The 16,992-nt window shown below is 50.5% G+C and overlaps 1 long non-coding RNA gene across 1 annotated transcript, besides 8 other annotated features; it reads left to right on the forward strand.

The window, feature by feature from the left end:
• Nucleotides 354-1,263: an enhancer, noted in NCBI's record as "H3K27ac-H3K4me1 hESC enhancer chr7:100934773-100935682 (GRCh37/hg19 assembly coordinates)". NCBI's record gives its function as "activates a minimal SCP1, AML or CMV promoter by ChIP-STARR-seq in primed H9 embryonic stem cells {active_cell/tissue: H9 hESC(primed)}" and the evidence as "EXISTENCE:reporter gene assay evidence [ECO:0000049][PMID:30033119]".
• Nucleotides 1,264-2,173: an enhancer, noted in NCBI's record as "H3K27ac-H3K4me1 hESC enhancer chr7:100935683-100936592 (GRCh37/hg19 assembly coordinates)". NCBI's record gives its function as "activates a minimal SCP1, AML or CMV promoter by ChIP-STARR-seq in primed H9 embryonic stem cells {active_cell/tissue: H9 hESC(primed)}" and the evidence as "EXISTENCE:reporter gene assay evidence [ECO:0000049][PMID:30033119]".
• Nucleotides 2,174-3,082: an enhancer, noted in NCBI's record as "OCT4-NANOG-H3K27ac-H3K4me1 hESC enhancer chr7:100936593-100937501 (GRCh37/hg19 assembly coordinates)". NCBI's record gives its function as "activates a minimal SCP1, AML or CMV promoter by ChIP-STARR-seq in naive and primed H9 embryonic stem cells {active_cell/tissue: H9 hESC(naive and primed)}" and the evidence as "EXISTENCE:reporter gene assay evidence [ECO:0000049][PMID:30033119]".
• Nucleotides 3,083-3,992: an enhancer, noted in NCBI's record as "OCT4-NANOG-H3K27ac-H3K4me1 hESC enhancer chr7:100937502-100938411 (GRCh37/hg19 assembly coordinates)". NCBI's record gives its function as "activates a minimal SCP1, AML or CMV promoter by ChIP-STARR-seq in naive and primed H9 embryonic stem cells {active_cell/tissue: H9 hESC(naive and primed)}" and the evidence as "EXISTENCE:reporter gene assay evidence [ECO:0000049][PMID:30033119]".
• Nucleotides 5,812-6,720: an enhancer, noted in NCBI's record as "H3K27ac hESC enhancer chr7:100940231-100941139 (GRCh37/hg19 assembly coordinates)". NCBI's record gives its function as "activates a minimal SCP1, AML or CMV promoter by ChIP-STARR-seq in naive H9 embryonic stem cells {active_cell/tissue: H9 hESC(naive)}" and the evidence as "EXISTENCE:reporter gene assay evidence [ECO:0000049][PMID:30033119]".
• On the forward strand, nucleotides 8,475-10,208 carry LNCPRESS1 (lncRNA p53 regulated and ESC associated 1). The gene is made up of 2 exons (NR_146480.1): nucleotides 8,475-8,728; nucleotides 9,631-10,208. It is a non-coding gene; the product is annotated as a lncRNA p53 regulated and ESC associated 1 (long non-coding RNA).
• Nucleotides 8,804-9,469: an enhancer, noted in NCBI's record as "NANOG-H3K27ac-H3K4me1 hESC enhancer chr7:100943223-100943888 (GRCh37/hg19 assembly coordinates)". NCBI's record gives its function as "activates a minimal SCP1, AML or CMV promoter by ChIP-STARR-seq in primed H9 embryonic stem cells {active_cell/tissue: H9 hESC(primed)}" and the evidence as "EXISTENCE:reporter gene assay evidence [ECO:0000049][PMID:30033119]".
• Nucleotides 10,969-11,670: an enhancer, noted in NCBI's record as "H3K27ac-H3K4me1 hESC enhancer chr7:100945388-100946089 (GRCh37/hg19 assembly coordinates)". NCBI's record gives its function as "activates a minimal SCP1, AML or CMV promoter by ChIP-STARR-seq in primed H9 embryonic stem cells {active_cell/tissue: H9 hESC(primed)}" and the evidence as "EXISTENCE:reporter gene assay evidence [ECO:0000049][PMID:30033119]".
• Nucleotides 11,671-12,373: an enhancer, noted in NCBI's record as "H3K27ac-H3K4me1 hESC enhancer chr7:100946090-100946792 (GRCh37/hg19 assembly coordinates)". NCBI's record gives its function as "activates a minimal SCP1, AML or CMV promoter by ChIP-STARR-seq in primed H9 embryonic stem cells {active_cell/tissue: H9 hESC(primed)}" and the evidence as "EXISTENCE:reporter gene assay evidence [ECO:0000049][PMID:30033119]".

Below are 16,992 nucleotides of genomic sequence, written 5' to 3' on the forward strand. Positions count from 1 at the left end.
ACCCCGTCTCTACTAAAAATACAAAAATTAGCTGGGTTTCGTGGCGTGTGCTTATAATCTGAGCTACTCCGGAAGCTGAGGCAGGAGAATCGTTTGAACCCGGGAAGCGGAGGTGGCAGTGAGCCGAGATCGCGCCACTGCCCTCCAGCCTGGTGACAGAGCGAGACTCCGTCTCAAAAAAAAAAAAAAAAAAGTCACAAAATGGGTTATTGGGTTATTTAATTTAAAAGGAGAGCTTGGGTCAGGCTCAGTGGCTCACACCTGTAATCCTAGCGCTTTGGGAAGCTGACGTGGGAGGATCTTTTGGGGCCAGGGATTCTAGACCAGCCTGGGCATGGCAGCAAGACCTCACCCCTACCCAAAAGAAAAAAAAAATTAGCCAGGCATGGTGACGTGTGCCTGTAGTTGCGGTTACACAGAAGGCTGAGGCAGGAGGATCACTGGAACCCAGCTATGATGGTGCCACTGCATTGCAGCATGGGTGACAGAGTGAGGCTCAGTCTTTTTTTTTTTTTAGAGGGAGTCTTGCTCTGTTGCCCAGGCTGGAATGCAATGGCACAATCTCAGCTCACTGCAACCTCTGCCTCCCGGGTTCAAGCGATTCTCCTGCTTCAGCCTCCTGAGTAGCTGGGATTACAGGTGCCTGCCACCATGCCTGGCTAATTTTTGTATTTTTAGTAGGGATGGGGTTTCGCCATGTTGGCCAGGCTGGTCTCCAACTTCTGACCTCAAGGCTCTGCCCGACTTGGCCTCCCAAAGTGCTGGGATTACAGGCGTGAGCCACCGCACCCGGCTGGGAGGTCTATATTTGGGCTGAGTCCTAGAGCCTATGCTTTCCAGGCAGAGCCAACACAGAGGAAGCAGGTAAGGGAGGGGCTTTGTGTGGGGTTGGAGGTGGCTGCTGCAGGACAGGGCACAGCACAGCCACAGTGGCCTCACTCCGATTGGCTTCACTGGCTCTCACAGTACAGATCCCCTCAGGCAAGACCCCAAATGCAGTAAAAAGTAGATTCTTCTACAGCGAGACCCAGTGAGGAAACAGCTGGTGCACAGACTAGTAGAAAAATAAAGTGACTGGAATCACAGCATTGCAGACTCTGAGGCCAAAGGCTCCAGGGATTGGGTTAAGAAGCAGTCCTGTGCTGCTCCCAGGACTGTGGTGGGAGCAGCGGCAAAGTGGCAGTTCCTGGGACTGGGGCAGGCCGGGCAGATTCCTCAATCCTTTTGTGGAGGTGAAGGCAACTCCATCTTGGATGCTGATCGCCACGTTGACTTATCATTAACCCTAGTTCCGGGAAGGCCTCTGAGATTTTATTTTTTTGAGATAGAGTCTCACTCTGTCATCCCAGCTGGAGTACAGTGGCCCGATAGCAGCTCACTGCAACCTCTGCCTCCTGGGTTCAAGCAATTCTCCTGCCTCAGCCTCCTGAGTAGCTGGGATTACAGGCGCCCATCACTACACTCGGCTAACTTTTGTATTTTTAGTAGAGAAGGGGTTTCACCATGTTGGCCAGGCTGGTCTTGAACTCCTGGACGTCAGGTGATCCTCCTGCCTCGGCCTCCCAAAGTGCTGGGAATACAGGCATTAGCCACTGTGCCTGCCCTAGACTGCCTTTGTATGACTAACAGATTAGCCACAAGATTAGAAATTATGGTTTAGGAGTCATGCAGCTGGAGGCTACAAAATTCTGACCCTTCCTAACCCACTCCTAAAATCAGTGCTTGAAATTTTTTTTTTTTTTTTTTTTTTGAGATAGAGTTTCACTCTTGTCACCCAGGCTGGAGTGCAATGGTGTGATCTCAGCTTACTGCAACCTCTGCCTCCCGGGTTCAAGCAATTCTCCTGCCTCAGCCTCCCAAGTAGCTGGGTTTATAGGCGTCCACCACCATGCCTGGCTAATTTTTTGTATTTTTAGTAGAGGGAGGGTTTTGCCTCAGGTGCTCTGCCCACCTTGGCCAAAGTGCTGGGATTACAGGTGTGAGCCACCGTGCCCAGCCTGGTGCTTGAGATATTTTGCAGACCCTGCACTTGATGGATCAGCTGGCACCACCCAGATGGATAAACTGGCTCAACCATCTTGTGGCCCCACCACCCAGGAACTGACTCAGCGCAAGAGGACAGCTTCAACTCGCTGGGAATTCATCTTCAACTCAACCAATCAAAACTCGACTCACTGGCCTTCCCCCATACACCAAATTATACTTAAAAACCCTGATCCCCGAATGCTCAGGGAGACTGATTTGAGTAATAATAAAACTCAGGTCTCCAGCATAGCTGCCTCCGTGTGAATTATTTTCCAAGGCAATTCTCCTGTCTTGATAAATCGGCTCTGTCTAGGCAGCGGACAAGGTGAACCCGTTGGGCAGTTCTACTCTTCCTTGGGCCCCTCAGCTTCCTTGGACTTTGGGGATAGGTTTGCATAGACCTGCCACCTCGGAACATCCTTCCTCCTATTGTAACTGCCCAAGGGGTTCACCTTGCCCGCAGCCTAGACAGAGATCAAGACAGGGGAAGTGCAATAGAGAAAGATAATTCACCCAGGGCCAGCTGTGCCAGAGACTGGAGTTTTATTATTACTCAAATCAGTCTCCCTGAGTCGGGGATCAGACTGTGTTTTTTTTTTCTTCTTTTGAGACAGAGTCTCTCTCTGTTGGCCAGGCTGGAGTGCGGTGGCGCAATCTCTGCTCACTGCAACCTCCACCTCCCAGGTTGAAGCGATTCTCCTATCTCAGCCTCCCTAGTAGCTGGGACTACAGATACCCACCACCACGCCCAGCTAATTTTTGTATTTTTAGTAGAGAAAGAGTTTCACCACATTGGCCAGGCTGGTCTTGAACTCCTGACCTCAAATGATCCACCCACCTCAGCTTCCCAAAGTGCTGGGATTACAGGCGTGAGCTTTTACAGAGTTTTTAAGGATAATTTGATGGGTAGGGGACCAGTGAATGGGGAGTGCTGGCTGGTTGGTTGGGGTTTGAAATCACAGGGAGTCAGAAGCTGTTCTCTTCTGCTGAGTCAGTCCCTGGGTGGGGGCCACAGATCTGGTTGACAAGTCCAGGTGGGGCCATCCGGTTGATAGAAATGCAAAAACCTGAATAGCCATCTCAAAAGGCCGATCTTAGGTTCACAATAGTGATGTCACCTTCAAGAGTGATTGGGGAAGTTGCAAATCTTACTACCTCCAGAATAACGGCTGGTAATACTTAGAATTCCAGCCCTTCTTATTCTAACTTCATGGCTGGTGGCCTTTCTTTCATTTTACAAGAACAATTTAGCTTTGGGGAAAGGCTATTATGTTTAGTTTAAACTACAAACTAAATTCTTTCCCAAGGCTAGTTCCGCCTACACCCAGGAATGGATGAGGACAGTTTAGACGTTAGAAGCAAGATGGGGTTGGTTAGGTCTGATGTGTTTCGCTGTTACGATTTCCTTAGTTATAATTTGCAAAGGCGGTTTCACTGTGTTCCCACCAGGGGTTGTGGAAAGGGAAGGTCGGGTGTCAGAAAAGGGTCTTTCAGGCTAGAGTGAGGCCTCTATTCTTGGGGTGGGTGGTTGGAGACCAGGACAGAGGAGTGCCCCCGTTTAGATATGGCCTTGTGAGGGCTGGCCTCTGGCTATCCTAAGCACAACAAGCCTCGCCCCCACTTATCCTCACCTGGGGCTCCTCTTCCTTCAAGGCTGGGGCACCCGAGGAAGGACATGGATGATGACACAAAAGCAACTCTCATTTCCTACATGTCCTTGAGTTTCAGGCATGGGTACTGCTTCTCCGAAGACCCCTGAATACAGGGACACAGGTGCAGTCACATGACTTAGGCCTTTTTTTTCTGTTTTTTGAGTCGGAGTCTCGCTCTGTCCCCCAGGCTGGAGGGCAGTGGCGCATTCTTGGCTCACTGCAACCTCCGCCTCCTGGGTTCAAGCGATTCTCCTGCCTCAGCCTCCTGAATAGCTGGATTACAGTTGCCCGCCACCACGCCCAGCTAATTTTTGTATTTTTAGTAGAGATGGGGTTTCACCATCTTGGCCAGACTGGTCTTGAACTCCTGACCTCATCATCCACCTGCCTCGGCCTCCCAAAGTGCTGGGATTACAGGCATGAGCCACTGCACCCGGCCACTTTAGGCCTTTAACTCTGCCATAACTCCTTTTCTTTAAAACATTGATTTTTTTTCTTTGATTTTTGAGACAGGGTCTTACCATGTCACCTAGGCTGGAGTGCAGTGGCCCGGCCCAATCTTGGCTCACTCTGTAACCTCCACACCCCAAACTCAAGGGATCCTCCCACCTCAGCCTCCAGAGTCCCAAATAGCTGGGACCACAGGCGCATGCCACTACATCTGACTATTTTTTTATTTTTTGTATTTTTAGTACGGAGAGTCTTGCTATGTTGCCCAGGCTGGTCTAGAACTCCTGAGCTCAAGAATCCGCCCACCTCGGCCTCTCAAAGTGCTGGGACTATAGGCCTGAGCCACTGTGCCCGGTCTGGAGTCCGCATTTTTAACTAGATCTCAGGTCATTTGTGTGCACACTGAACTTTGAGAAGCTCTGATTTATTTATTTATTTAGACAAAGTCACACTCTGTCACCCAGGCTGGAGTGCAGTGGCGAGATCTCAGCTCACTGCAACCTCTGCCTCCCAGGTTCAAGTGCCTCTCCTGCCTCAGCCTCCAAGTAGCTCCAAGATTACAGGCGCCCACCACTACGCCTGGCTGATTTTTGTATTTTTAGTAGAGACCAGGTTTCACCATGTTGGCCAGGCTGGTCTTGAACTCCTGACCTCAGATGATCCACCCGACCTCAAATGATCCGCCCATCTTGGCCTCCCAAAGTGCTGGGATTATAGGCATGAGCCATTGTGCCCAGCCCAAGAAGCTCTGATTTAAAATGCAGTACCCAATAAATTGATGAAGGTAGTTGAAACAATCTCTAATATATGTGACAGTTTAGAGTTTATAAAATAATTCCATATTTGTTATTTCATTTTATCTTTTTTTGTTTTTTGTTTTTTTGAGACAAGAGTCTCACTCTGTCACCCAGGCTGGAGTACAGTGGTGCAATCTCGGTTCATTGCAACCTCCACCTCCTGGGTTTAAGTGATTCTCCTGCCTCAGCCTCCCGAGTAGCTGAGATTACAGGCGCCTGCCATCACATCCGACTAATTTTTGTAATTTTAGTAGAGATGGGGTTTCACCATGTTGGTCAGGCTGGTCTTGAACTCCTGACCTCAGTCAATCTACCGCCTCAGCCTCCCAAAGTGCTGGGATTACAGGCGTGAGCCGCCGCACCCAGCCTACTTGAGTAGTTTCCTTTTTTTTTTTTTTTTTGAGGTGGAATCTCGCTCTGTTGCCAGGCTGGAGCGCAGTGGCATGATCTCGGCTCATTGCAACCTCCTCTTCCTGGGTTCAAGTGATTCTCTTGCCTCAGCCTCCTGAGTAGGTGGGATTACAGGCGCCTGCCACCACGCCCAGCTAATTTTTTTGTATTTTTATTAGAGACGCGGTTTCACCATGTTAGCCAGGATGGTCTCGATCTCCTGACCTCATGATCTGCCCGCCTTGGCCTCCCAAAGTGCTGGGATTACAGGCGTGAGCCACCGCGCCCGGCCAAGGATCTTTTTTTTTTTTTTGAGATGGAGTCTCACTCTGTCACCCGGGCTGGAATGCAGTGGCACCATCTCAGCTCACTGCAACCTCCGCCTCCTGGGTTCAAGCAATTCTCCTGCCTCAGCCTCCCGAGTAGCTGGAATTACAGGTACGTGCCACCATGCCTGGTTAATTTTTGTATTTTTAGTGGAGATAGGGTTTTGCCATGTTGGCCAGGCTGGTCTCAAACTCCTGACCTCAGGTGATCCGCCCACCTCTGACTCCCAAAGTGTTGGGATTACAGGCGTGAGCCACTGCGCTGGGCCCGATTAAGTATCTTTAGATGGGAAGATGATCCTGGAGTATCCAAGTGGGCTCTAGAAGATGCAATTAGAAGTGTCAGTATAAGAAAGAGAGAAGAAGATCTGAGACGGATACCTAGAGAAAGCAATGTGGGAGCTGGGCATGGTGGCTCACGCTGTAATCCCAGCACTTTGGGAGGCTGAGGCACATGGATCACCTGAAGTCAGGAGTTCGAGACCAGCCTGACCAACATGGCGAAACCCCCCAAAATACAAAAATTAGCCAGGTGTGGTGGCAGGCACATGTAATCCCAGCTACTCAAGAGGCTGAGGGATGAGAACTGCTTGACAGCCCGTGGGGCGGAGGTTGCTGTGAGCTGGGATCACGCCATTGCATGGTAGCCTGGGCAAAAGAGTAAGACTCTGTCTCAAAAATAAAATAATAAGGCCGGGCGAGGTGGCTCACGCCTGTAATCCCAGCACTTCGGGAGGCCGAGGTGGGCGGATCACGAGGTCGAGAGATCGAGACCACCCTGGCCAACACGGTGAAACCCCGTCTCTACTAAAAATACAAAAAAAGCCGGGAATGGTGGCAGGCGCCTGTAATCCCAGCTACTTGGGAGGCTGAGGCAGGAGAATCGCTTGATCCCGGGAGGCAGAGGTTGCAGTGAGCCAAGATTGCACCATTGCACGCCAGCCTGGGCAAAAAGAGTGAAACTCTGTCTCAAAAAAAAAAATAAATTAATAAAATAAAATAAAATAATATAAGTCAGCAGGCGGTGGCTCATGTCTGTAATTCCAGTACTTTGGGAGGCCGAGGCAGGCGGATCACCTGAGGTTGGGAGTTTGAGACCAGCCTGACCAACATGGAGAAAACCCGTCTCTACTAAAAATACAAAATTAGCTCGGTGTGGTGGCACATGCCTGTAATCCCAGCTACTTGGGAGGCGGAGGAAGGAGAATCGCTTGAACCCAGGAGGCAGAGGTTGCGGTGAGCCAAGATCGCTCCATGGCACTCCAGGCTGGCCAACAAGAGTGAAACTCTGTCTCAAAAATAAAATAAAATAAAATAAAAAAACACAGATCTGGCCACATTAATTTTCCGTGAAAAAATCTGTCAGTGGCACATTAATGCCTGTAAGATGATGCCAAACTCCTTGCCTGGCCTGAGGTGCTCTTCACCGTCTGGTCCCTCATCTTCTCCCTCATGCTCAAATACACAAACATACATGCACACATTGACACTCCTATGTTCACAATCGCTCTCACACACACACTCACACTCACTTGAGCCATGCTGCACTACAGAATTCCTATGATTGGGCTGTTTTAGCTTCTGTGAGTTTCATGAGCTCCTGCAACGTCTCTCATAGAAAGAAAGTTGTTTCATCTCAACACATGTGTGGCAAAAACTGGTTTGTTCAGCATGGAATAGAAAATGGTTCTGCTGCTGGGCGCAGAGGCTCATGCCTGTAATCCCAGCACTTTGCGAGGCCAAGGCAGGAGGATCACCTGAGGTTAGGATCTTTCCTTTAAAAGAACTGATTGTTGAAACCATGACTGTGAAATTCCACATTTAAACATATTTGTACCTCAACTCATGTTTTTCAATATCATGAAAAGTCCATCCAGGCCAGGCACAGTGGCTCACACCTGTAATCCCAGCACTTTGGGAGGCTGAGGCGGGCAGATCACAAGGTCAGGAGTTTGAGACCAGCCTGGCCAACATGGTGAAACCTCGTCTCTACTAAAAATACAAAAATTAGCTGGGCATGGTGTCAGATACCTCTAATTCCAGCTACTCCGTAGGCTGAGGCAGGAGAATCATTTGAACCTGAGAGGCAGAGGTTGCAGTGAGCCGAGATGGCGCCATTGCACTTCAGCCTGGGCAACAGGGTGAGACTCCGTCTCAAAAAAGTCCATCCACAAAAAATGCATATTTTTACATAAATGATTATTACAAATTTCTAACAATATGTGACATTTCAATATACATGATTATGTTGACATTACGCAGCTGTAAAAGAGAACAAGGCAGCCCGGGCCTGGTGGCTTATGCCTGTAATCCCAGCACTTTGGGAGGCCAAGGCGGGCAGTTCACTTGAGATCAGGAGTTCAAGACCAGCCTGGCCAACATGGCGAAACCCCGTCTCTACTAAAAATATTATACAAAAAAATTAGGCGTGGTGGCATGCGCCTGTATTCCCAGCAACTCGGGAGGCTGAGGCAGGAGAATCGCTTGAACCCAGGAGGCGGAGGTTGCAGTGAGCCGAGATCACAGGACTGCAGTCCAGCCTGGGACGACAGGGCTAGACTCCGTCTCAAAAAAAAAAAAAAAAAAGAAAGAAAGAAAAAGAAAAGAACAACGCGGCTCTGCGAGTACTGACACAAATCCCCAGCATAAAAAGTGAAAAATGCACACCTTTGTGGAAAAGTGTGAATAGTCTGCTCCCATTTCTATTAGCAAACACACCTGTGTGCACACTGAGCTTTCTGTCCAGTCTGGAAGGGGAGGGCGGGGCCTTCCCGGGAGTGAAGGGGATGGGGCCGACCCGGACCCTCCAGGGAACGCCCTTGAGTAACTCCCGCACTTGGGACCCCGTTTCCACCCAGGACCACAGGCTCAAGATGGCCTGGTAGATGCAGCCGGCACGCGCCTCTCCTCCGACGGGAACAGAAGGAGCCGGTAGGTTTTCACACTTGCAGCAGATCCGCTAAGAGAACGAGGGATTCAGCCGAGAAGCCACTGGGAGCCCGAGGAGTGGAGCAGAGGCACCCAGGCAGCCTGCGCGGAGAAATCGGATCGGCTGGGACGGCCTGCAGCCCCCGCGCGCGGGGAAAGGGTGAGTGAGAGACCCCGGGGCTCCGCAGTCCCGCTACCGACTTCCACAGCCCCCCGACCCTCGCGGGCCTCCAGAATGGGCAGCGGCCGAGAGATTCCCCAGCGGCGTTGCAGGAGCCCACGTGGAGCCCACGGGCTTCCCTGCCCTGAGCAGCTGCAGCTGCAGCCCCCGCCACCCCGAGAGTCCAGCCCCGAGGGCAGCTCCTGCCTTGCCTGCGGTTACCGCCGCCGCCAGCTGAGGGCCAAGGAGGGAGAGGGGAGGCCAGGCGCTCTCAGGAGTCCCAAAGGACAAATAACCCCGCCGCTGCCGCGGGACCCAGACGCGAGCCAGCTGCTCGCCCGCCCTGCCCCGCCTGAGCTTTCCGCCGGCAGCCTGGGGCCCAGCCCTTCCCTGTCTGTCACAGCCAGAGCCCAAACCCCGGGGGCCTGAGGACAGTCCGCTGGCGGTTCCGTCCCGCGAGGACTGGAGCACAGGGGCCTGGGGATTGGTGGCTGCGGGTTTTGTCCGTCACCGTTGGCGGCTGAACACTCCTCCCCGGGGTCTGAGGTCTGGGGCACAGCCTGCCGATACCACCACGGACAGGCCAGGGGACTCGCTTGCCCCTCCCACCCATCAACACCTGCTGCCCCCGGGCCTGAGATTAGCCGCATGCCCAGGCAGGGACTGTCACTACCAGCATTCGAGCAGGGCACCTAGACGCCCACGAAGAGACCCACAAATCGCTCCCCTGAACCCACTAACGCCAGGGCCAGTGTACACTGCTCTGGGGCTCAAGAACAGGCAAGCACAGTCTCCACTAATAACCACACCTTAAGTCACCCAAGTAATGTACAGAGCCTACACTTCTACCTCAAACCAAAGCCAAGATCCCCTACTTAACCACATCATATCTACATCTTCAGGAAGAAGTCCTCCCCTACAAAGCGAATTCACAAACGGAAGAAGTGACTGTTCCACAGGATGCGCAGATCTCAACGGAAGGACCCAGGAGACATGAAAAAGCAAGGAAATGTGACGCCTTCAGAAGAAACCAGTAATTCTCCAGCAACAGATCCCCATCCAAAAGAAATTCAGGAAAGCTCAAACAGAGAATTGAGCAGAGAATTGACCGGACTGATTGTAAAGAAGGTCATCAACATGGAAGAGTCTTTTGAACAACAACATAAAGAAATGAGGAAAAGAGGTGGGGAGATATATGAGATGATTACCTGCCAGAAAGAGGTTTTAAAATTCAACAGAAGAGTATTTCTGGAACTGAAGAAATCATTGGATGAAATACAAAGTACACTCAAAAGCTTCAATGATAGACTAGAACAAATAGAAGAAAAACTCTCAGGGCATAAAATCTGAAGCATTTTTCTCACTTTAAAGATTCATGGGTTGTACTCTGGCCATTAATGTGAACAAAACCTGCTGGGTTAGTTCTTATTCTGGGGTCTTGGGTAATCGTTAGAGCGAAATAAAAATAATTTCCCTTAGAGATGGTCGATTTTGCAAGATTAGTTATCATCCAGCAGTTAGGTAAAGATGATCTGATTCAGTTACTGAATCTGATCAGTACTGAATTCAGTAGGCACAGTAATCCTAACAGGTGAATGTAGCTGAAGTACATTGTCATGGTCAAGAAAAGCCACTCTCTCTAACAGATTGCCCACACAGCTACATGTCAGCCCTCCTCGCTGCAAACCTGACAAACACTGTAGCATTTTATTATTTATTTATTTATTATTTAGAGATGTGGTCTTTCTGTACCCAGGCTGGAATGCAGTAGTGCAATTTCACTGCAGCCTCCATTTTCCGAGCTCATGCAATTATCCAGTCTCAGTCTCCCAAGTAGCTGGGACTACAGGCATGAGCCATGAGGCCTGTCTAATTTTTTTTTTTTTTTTTTTTGGTCGGAGCTTTGCTCTTGTTGCTCAGGCTGGAGTGCAATGGCACGATCATGGCTCACTGCAACCTCCGCCTCCCAGGTTCGTGCCTCAGCCTCCAGATTAGCTGGGATTACAGGCACCCGCCACCACATCCAGCTAGTTTTTGTATTTCTAGTAGACATGGGGTTTCCCAATGTTGGTCAGGCTGGTCTTGAACTCCTGACCTCAGGTGATCCTCCCGCCTGGGCCTCCCAGAGTGCTGGGATTACAGGGGCTGAGCCACCATGCCCAGCCTCCTGGCTAATTTTTGAACCTTTTTGTAGAAACAGGGTTTCACCATGTTGCCTAGTCTGGTCTTGAACTCCTGAACTCAAAGTGGTCTGCCTGCCTCAGCCTCCCAAAGTGCTGTGATTGCAGGAGTGAACCACACTTTGCCAAGCACACCCTAGCATGTTAATTCATCATTCTTTTTTTTTGGAGACGGCGTTTTTGCTTTGCAGGAGCCGAGATCTCGCCACTGCACTCCAGGCTGGGCGACAGAGTTAGAATCCATCTCAAAAAAAAAAAAATTAAAATTAAAAGAAAAAAGCATCCAAAAATGCATACATCAACGTAAAGGATTTTTTTTTTTTTGGTGAGATGGAGTCTCGCTCTTGTCGCCCAGGCAGGAGTGCAGTGGCGCGATCTTGGCTCACTACAACATCCGCCTCCCGGGTTCAAGCGATTCTCGTTACTCAGCCTCCCAAGTAGCTGGGATTACAGGCGCCCGCGACCACGCCCGGCTGATATTTTTATTTTTAGTAGAGACGGGGTTTCCCCATGTTGGCCAGGCTGGTCTCGAACTCCCTACCTCAGGTGATCCACCCGCCTCGGCCTCCCAGAGTGCTGGAATTACAGGCGTGAGCCACCGTGCCCGGCCAAATAGTCTATTTATATTAGCAAACACACCTGTGTGCACACGGAGCTTGCGGACCAGTCTGGAAGGGGAGGGCGGGGCCGACCCGGACCCTCCAGGGAACGCCCTTGAGTAACTCGCGCACTTGGGACCCATTCCCACCTAGGACCATAGGCTCAAGATGGCCTGGTGGATGCCGCCGGCACGCGCCTCTCCTCTGGCGGGAACCGAAGGCGCCGGTAGGTTTTCACACTTGCAGCCGATCGGCTAAGAGAACGCGGGATTCAGCCGAGAAGCCACTGGGAGCCCGAGGAGCGGAGCAGAGGCACCCAGGCAGCCTGCGCGGAGAAATCGGATCGGCTAGGACGGCCTGCAGCCCCTGCGCGCGGGGAAAGGGTGAGTGAGAGACCCCGGGGGCTCCGCAGTCCCCCCACGGACTTCCACAGCCCCCTGACCCTCGTGGACCTCCAGAGTAGGGGGCAGCGGGCGAGAGATTCCCCAGCGGCGTTGCAGGAGCCCACGTGGAGCCCACGGGCTTCCCTGCCCTGAGCAGCTGCAGCTGCAGCCGCCGCCGCCCAGCTGAGGGCCAGGGAGGGAGCGGGGAGGCCAGAGGCTTTCATACGTCCGAAAAGACTAATAACCCCACCGCCACCGCGGGACTCAGACGCGAACCAACCGCTTGCCTGCTCTACCCCGCCTGAGCTTTCCTGGGGACCAGCCCTTCCCTGTCCGTCCTAGCCAGCGACCGAACCCCGGGGCCCTCAGGACAGTCCGCTGGTGGTTCTGCCTCCTGAGGACTTGCGCACGCGGGCCGGAGGCCTGGGGATTGGTGACTATTCTGCCTCTTCCGCCACCGTTGGCGGCTGAACACTCCTCCCCGGTGTCTGAGTTCAGGGGCCCAGCCTGCGGATAACACCTCAGGCTACCTACAGGCCCGGGGACTCGCGTGCCCGCCCAACCTGGTCAGCCACCACCAACACCAGCAGGGACCGCCTGGATTCCGGAGGGTTGCCCCCCCAACTGCAACTACCCTGCCCACATCACACCCACTGCCCCAACGCCTGAGATCAGCCACACCCCCAGCCAGTGGCTGCCACTACCAGCATTAGAGCAGGGCACCTAGAGACACACGAATCACTCCCCACAACCCGCTAATAACAGAGCCAGCATGCACTGCTCTGGGACTAAAGAATAGGTAAGATCAGGCCACCACTGGGGCCCAAATACTGGCCCACCTGGCCGCCTAGTCCCCAGCAACCACAGCCTCCACTAATAACCACACCCTAAGCCACCCAAGAAATCATACAGAGCCTACAGTACTACCCCAAATCAAAGCCAAAGTGCCCCAGCTAACCAACACCCTATCTACATTTTCAGGAAGAAGTCCTCCCCTACAAAGCGAGTTCACAAACTTGGAAGAAGCCACTTTCACAGGATGCACAGATCTCAACGGAAGGACACAGAAAACATGAAAAAGCAAGGAAATGGGGCGCCTCCAACGGAACCCAGTAATTCTCCAGCAGCAGATCCCCATCCAAAAGAAACAGAAGACATTTTGGAGAGAGAATTGAATATACATATTATACAGTTGTGGGCATAATACAAGCATCATTTGGAAAAGAACAGAGAAAAAAGATGGAAGGAGTTACCGTACTGCAGGAAAAAATTATCAACTCCAGTGATATTATTAAATACAACCTAACGACACTTCTGAAGCTGAAGAAATCACTGGATGAAATACAAAGTAAACTCAAAAGCTTCAGTGATAGACTAGAACAAGAAGAAGAAAGACTCTCAAAACTTGAAATCTGAAGCATGTTTCTTAAAGATTTAAAGGGTTATTATACTCTGGCCATTAATGTGAACGAAATCTGCTGGGTTAATTCTTATACTGGGGTCTTGGATAATCATTAAAGTGAAATGAGAATAATTTCTTTTTGAGATGATCAATTTTATGAGGTCGATTTTTTTTTTTTTTTTTTAATGAGACTGAGTCTTGCTCTGTCGCCCAGGCTGGAGTGCAGTGGCATGATTTCGGTTCACTGCAACCTCCGTCTCCCAGGTTCAAGAGATTCTCCTGCCTTAGCCTCCAGAGTAGCTGGGACTACAGGCGTGTACCACCACACCCAGCTTATTTTTGTATTTTTAGTAGAGATGGGGTTTCACCATGTTAGCCAAGGTGGTCTCAAACTCCTGACCTCAGGTGATCCACCCGCCTCGGCTTCCCAAAGGGCTGGGATTACAGGCATGAGCCACCGGGCTGGCTGAGATGGATTCTTGTTAGGCAGCAGTCATGGAAAGATGATTTGATTCAGTTGACATTAACAGTACGCACAGTAATCCTAACAGGTGAATGTAATTTAAGCTAAATTACCAGGCAATTGTCATAGTCTGGAAAACACACTCTGCCAGGTGAGGTGGCTCAGGCCTATAATCCCAGCACTTTTGGGAGGCCGAGGAGGGTGGATCACCTAGGGTCAGGAGTTCAAGACCAGCCTGGCCAACATGCTGAAACCCCGTCTCTATTAAAAATAGAAACAAAATTAGCCGGGCGTGGTGGCGGGCGCCTGTAGTCCCAGCTACCAGGAGGCTGAGGCAGGAGAATGGCATGAACCCAGGAGGCGGAGCTTGCAGTGAGCTGAGATCGCACCACTGCACTCAAGCCTGGATGACAGAGTGAGACCCCCGTCTCAAAAAATAAATAAATAAATAAACTTTTGGAGATAAATGCCAACAATCTTCCAAAATATCCTGGGTGAGCTGTACACCCATGCTGCTACAGTGTACTCACTAAAGTCAAAAGTTGGAAACACCTAAATAGCCAACAGATGAATGGATAAACAAAATGTGGTCTGGCCATATGATGGAATATTATTCTACCTTCTTAAGGAAAGAAGGTTTTTTGTTTTGTTTTCCAGACAGAGTCTCTCTTTGTCACCCAGGCTAGAGTACAGTGGCGAGACGTCGGCTCACTGCAACCTCCACCTCCCAGGTTCACACGATTCTTGTGCCTCGACCTCCTGAGTAGCTGGGATTACAGGTGTGCCCCACCATGTCTGGCTTATTTATTTATTTATTTAGAGATGGAGTTTCATTCTTGTTGCCCAGGCTGGAGTGCAATGGCGTGATCTCGGCTCACCGCAACCTCAAGCCTCCTGGGTTCAAGCAATTCTCCTGCCTCAGCCTTCCGAGTAGCTGGGATTACAGGCATGCGCCACCACGCCTGGCTAATTTTGTATTTTTAGTAGAGACGGTTTTGCCATGTTGGCCAGGCTGGTTTTGAACTCCTGGCCTCAGGTCATCCACTTGCCTTGGCCTCCCAAAGTGCTGGGATTATGGGCATGAGCCACCATGCTCACCTTAAAAAGGAAGGAAATTCTGACACATGCTGCAATCAGGTGAACCTTGAGATCATTAGGTTACCTGGAATAAACCAGTAACAAAAAAACAAATACCATATGATTCCCCTTGTATAAAGGACTTAGAGGAGGCAACATCAGAGACAAAAAATAGAATAGAATGGTGGTTGCCAGGGCCTGGGGGAAGGAGGAAAGGGGAGTTGTTCAATGGTTATAGAGTTTCAGTTAGGGATCATAGAAAGTTCTGGAGATGGATGGTGGTGATGGTTGCATAACAATGTGAGTGTATTTAATGCTACTGAACTGTATACTTCCAAATGGTTAGAATGGGCTGGTCCTGGTAAGGTGGGTGGATGGATTCAGCTCGCAAGTTTGAGACCAGTCTGGGGAGCATGGTGAAACCCCGTCTCTACAGTAAAAATTTGGCTGGTCGTGGTGGTGCGATCCTGTAGTCTCAGCTACTTGGGAGGCTAAGGTGGGAGGATGGCTTGGGCCAAGGAGATGGAGGTTGAAGTGAGCCCAGATGGCACCACTCCACTCCAGCCTAGGCTAAAGAGGCAGGCTGGGCACGGTGGCTCATGCCTGTAATCCCAGTACTTTGGGAGGTTGAGGCGGGCAGATCACAAGGTCAAGACTTTGAGATCATCCTGGCCGACAATGGTGAAACCCTGTCTCTACTGAAAATACAAAAATTAGCTGGGCGTGGTGGCATACGCCTATAGTCTCAGCTACTCGGGAGGCTGAGGCAGGAGGATGGCTTGAACCCAGGAGGTGGAGGTTGCAGTGAGCTAAGATCACACCACTGCACTCCAGACTGGCAATAGAGTGAGACTCCATCTCAAAAAAAAAAAAATAAAATAAAGGTTAGATTGGCAAATTTTATGTTATGGATAGTTTGTCACAAGATAGCAGTATTGTTAAATATGAAAAAATACTGAGTGACTAAATTTTTAGGTTTATAATATAAAAACAAAACATTTCTTTTTTTTTTTTTTTGAGATGGAGTCTCACTCTTGTTGCCGGGGCGGGAGTGCAATGTGCCATCTTGGCTCACCGCAACCTCCACCTCCTGGGTTCCAGCGAATCTCCTGCCTCAGCCTCCTAAGTAGCTGGGATTACAGGCATGCGCCACCACGCCCGGCTAATTTTGCATTTTTAGTAGAGATGGGGTTTCACCATGTTGGTCAAGCTGGTCTCGAACTCCCAACCTCAGGTGATCTGCCCGCCTTGGCCTTCCAAAATGCTGGGATTACAGGCGTGAGCCACTGTGCTCAGCCCCATCTTTACCTTTGAAAGGAATGATTGTTGAAATCATCTCTCTGAAATTTCACATTTAAACATATTTATACCCCCAAATCATGTTTTTCAATACTGTTCAAAGGCCATCTATAAAAATGCATATTTCAACATAAAAGATTTTTCAAACATCTAACAATATGTGACATTCCAATATAGATGATTATATTGATATTATTTAGCTGTAAAAAAGAATAAGGCAGGCCGGGCACGGCGGCTGACGTCTGTAATCCCAGCACTTTGGGAGGCCGAGGTGAGCAGATCACCTGAGGTCAAGAGTTTGAGACCAGCCTGGCCAACATGGTGAAACCCCATCTCTACTAAAAATACGAAATTAGGCAGGGCATGGTGGCGTGCGCCTGTAATCCCAGCTACTCAGGAGGCTGAGGCAGGAGAATCGCTTGAACCCGGGAGGGGGAGGTTGCGGTGAGCCGAGATCGCGCCGTTGCACTCCAGCCTGGCCAACAAGAGCCAGATTCCGTCTAAAAAAAAAAAAAAAAAAGAATAAGGTGGCTCTGTGAGTACTAACACAAATCCCCAGTATAGAAAGTGAAAAATGGCTGGGCGCCGTGGCTCACGCCTGTAATCCCAGCACTTTGGGAGGCCGAGGCGGGCAGATCACGAGGTCAGGAGTTCAGGACCAGCCTGGCCAACATGGTGAAACCCCGTCTCTACTAAAAATACAAAAATTAGCTGGGCGTGGTGGCGCTTGCCTATAAACCCAGCTACTCGGGAGGCTGAGGCAGGATAATTGCTTGACCCTGGACCCGGGTTGCAGAGAGCCGAGATCGCGCCGCTGCACTCCGTCTCAAAAAAAAAAAAAAAAGTGAAAAATGAACACTT

This window comes from Homo sapiens, chromosome 7, assembly GCF_000001405.40.
Source record: "Homo sapiens chromosome 7, GRCh38.p14 Primary Assembly".
NCBI classification, from domain to species: domain Eukaryota; kingdom Metazoa; phylum Chordata; class Mammalia; order Primates; family Hominidae; genus Homo; species Homo sapiens.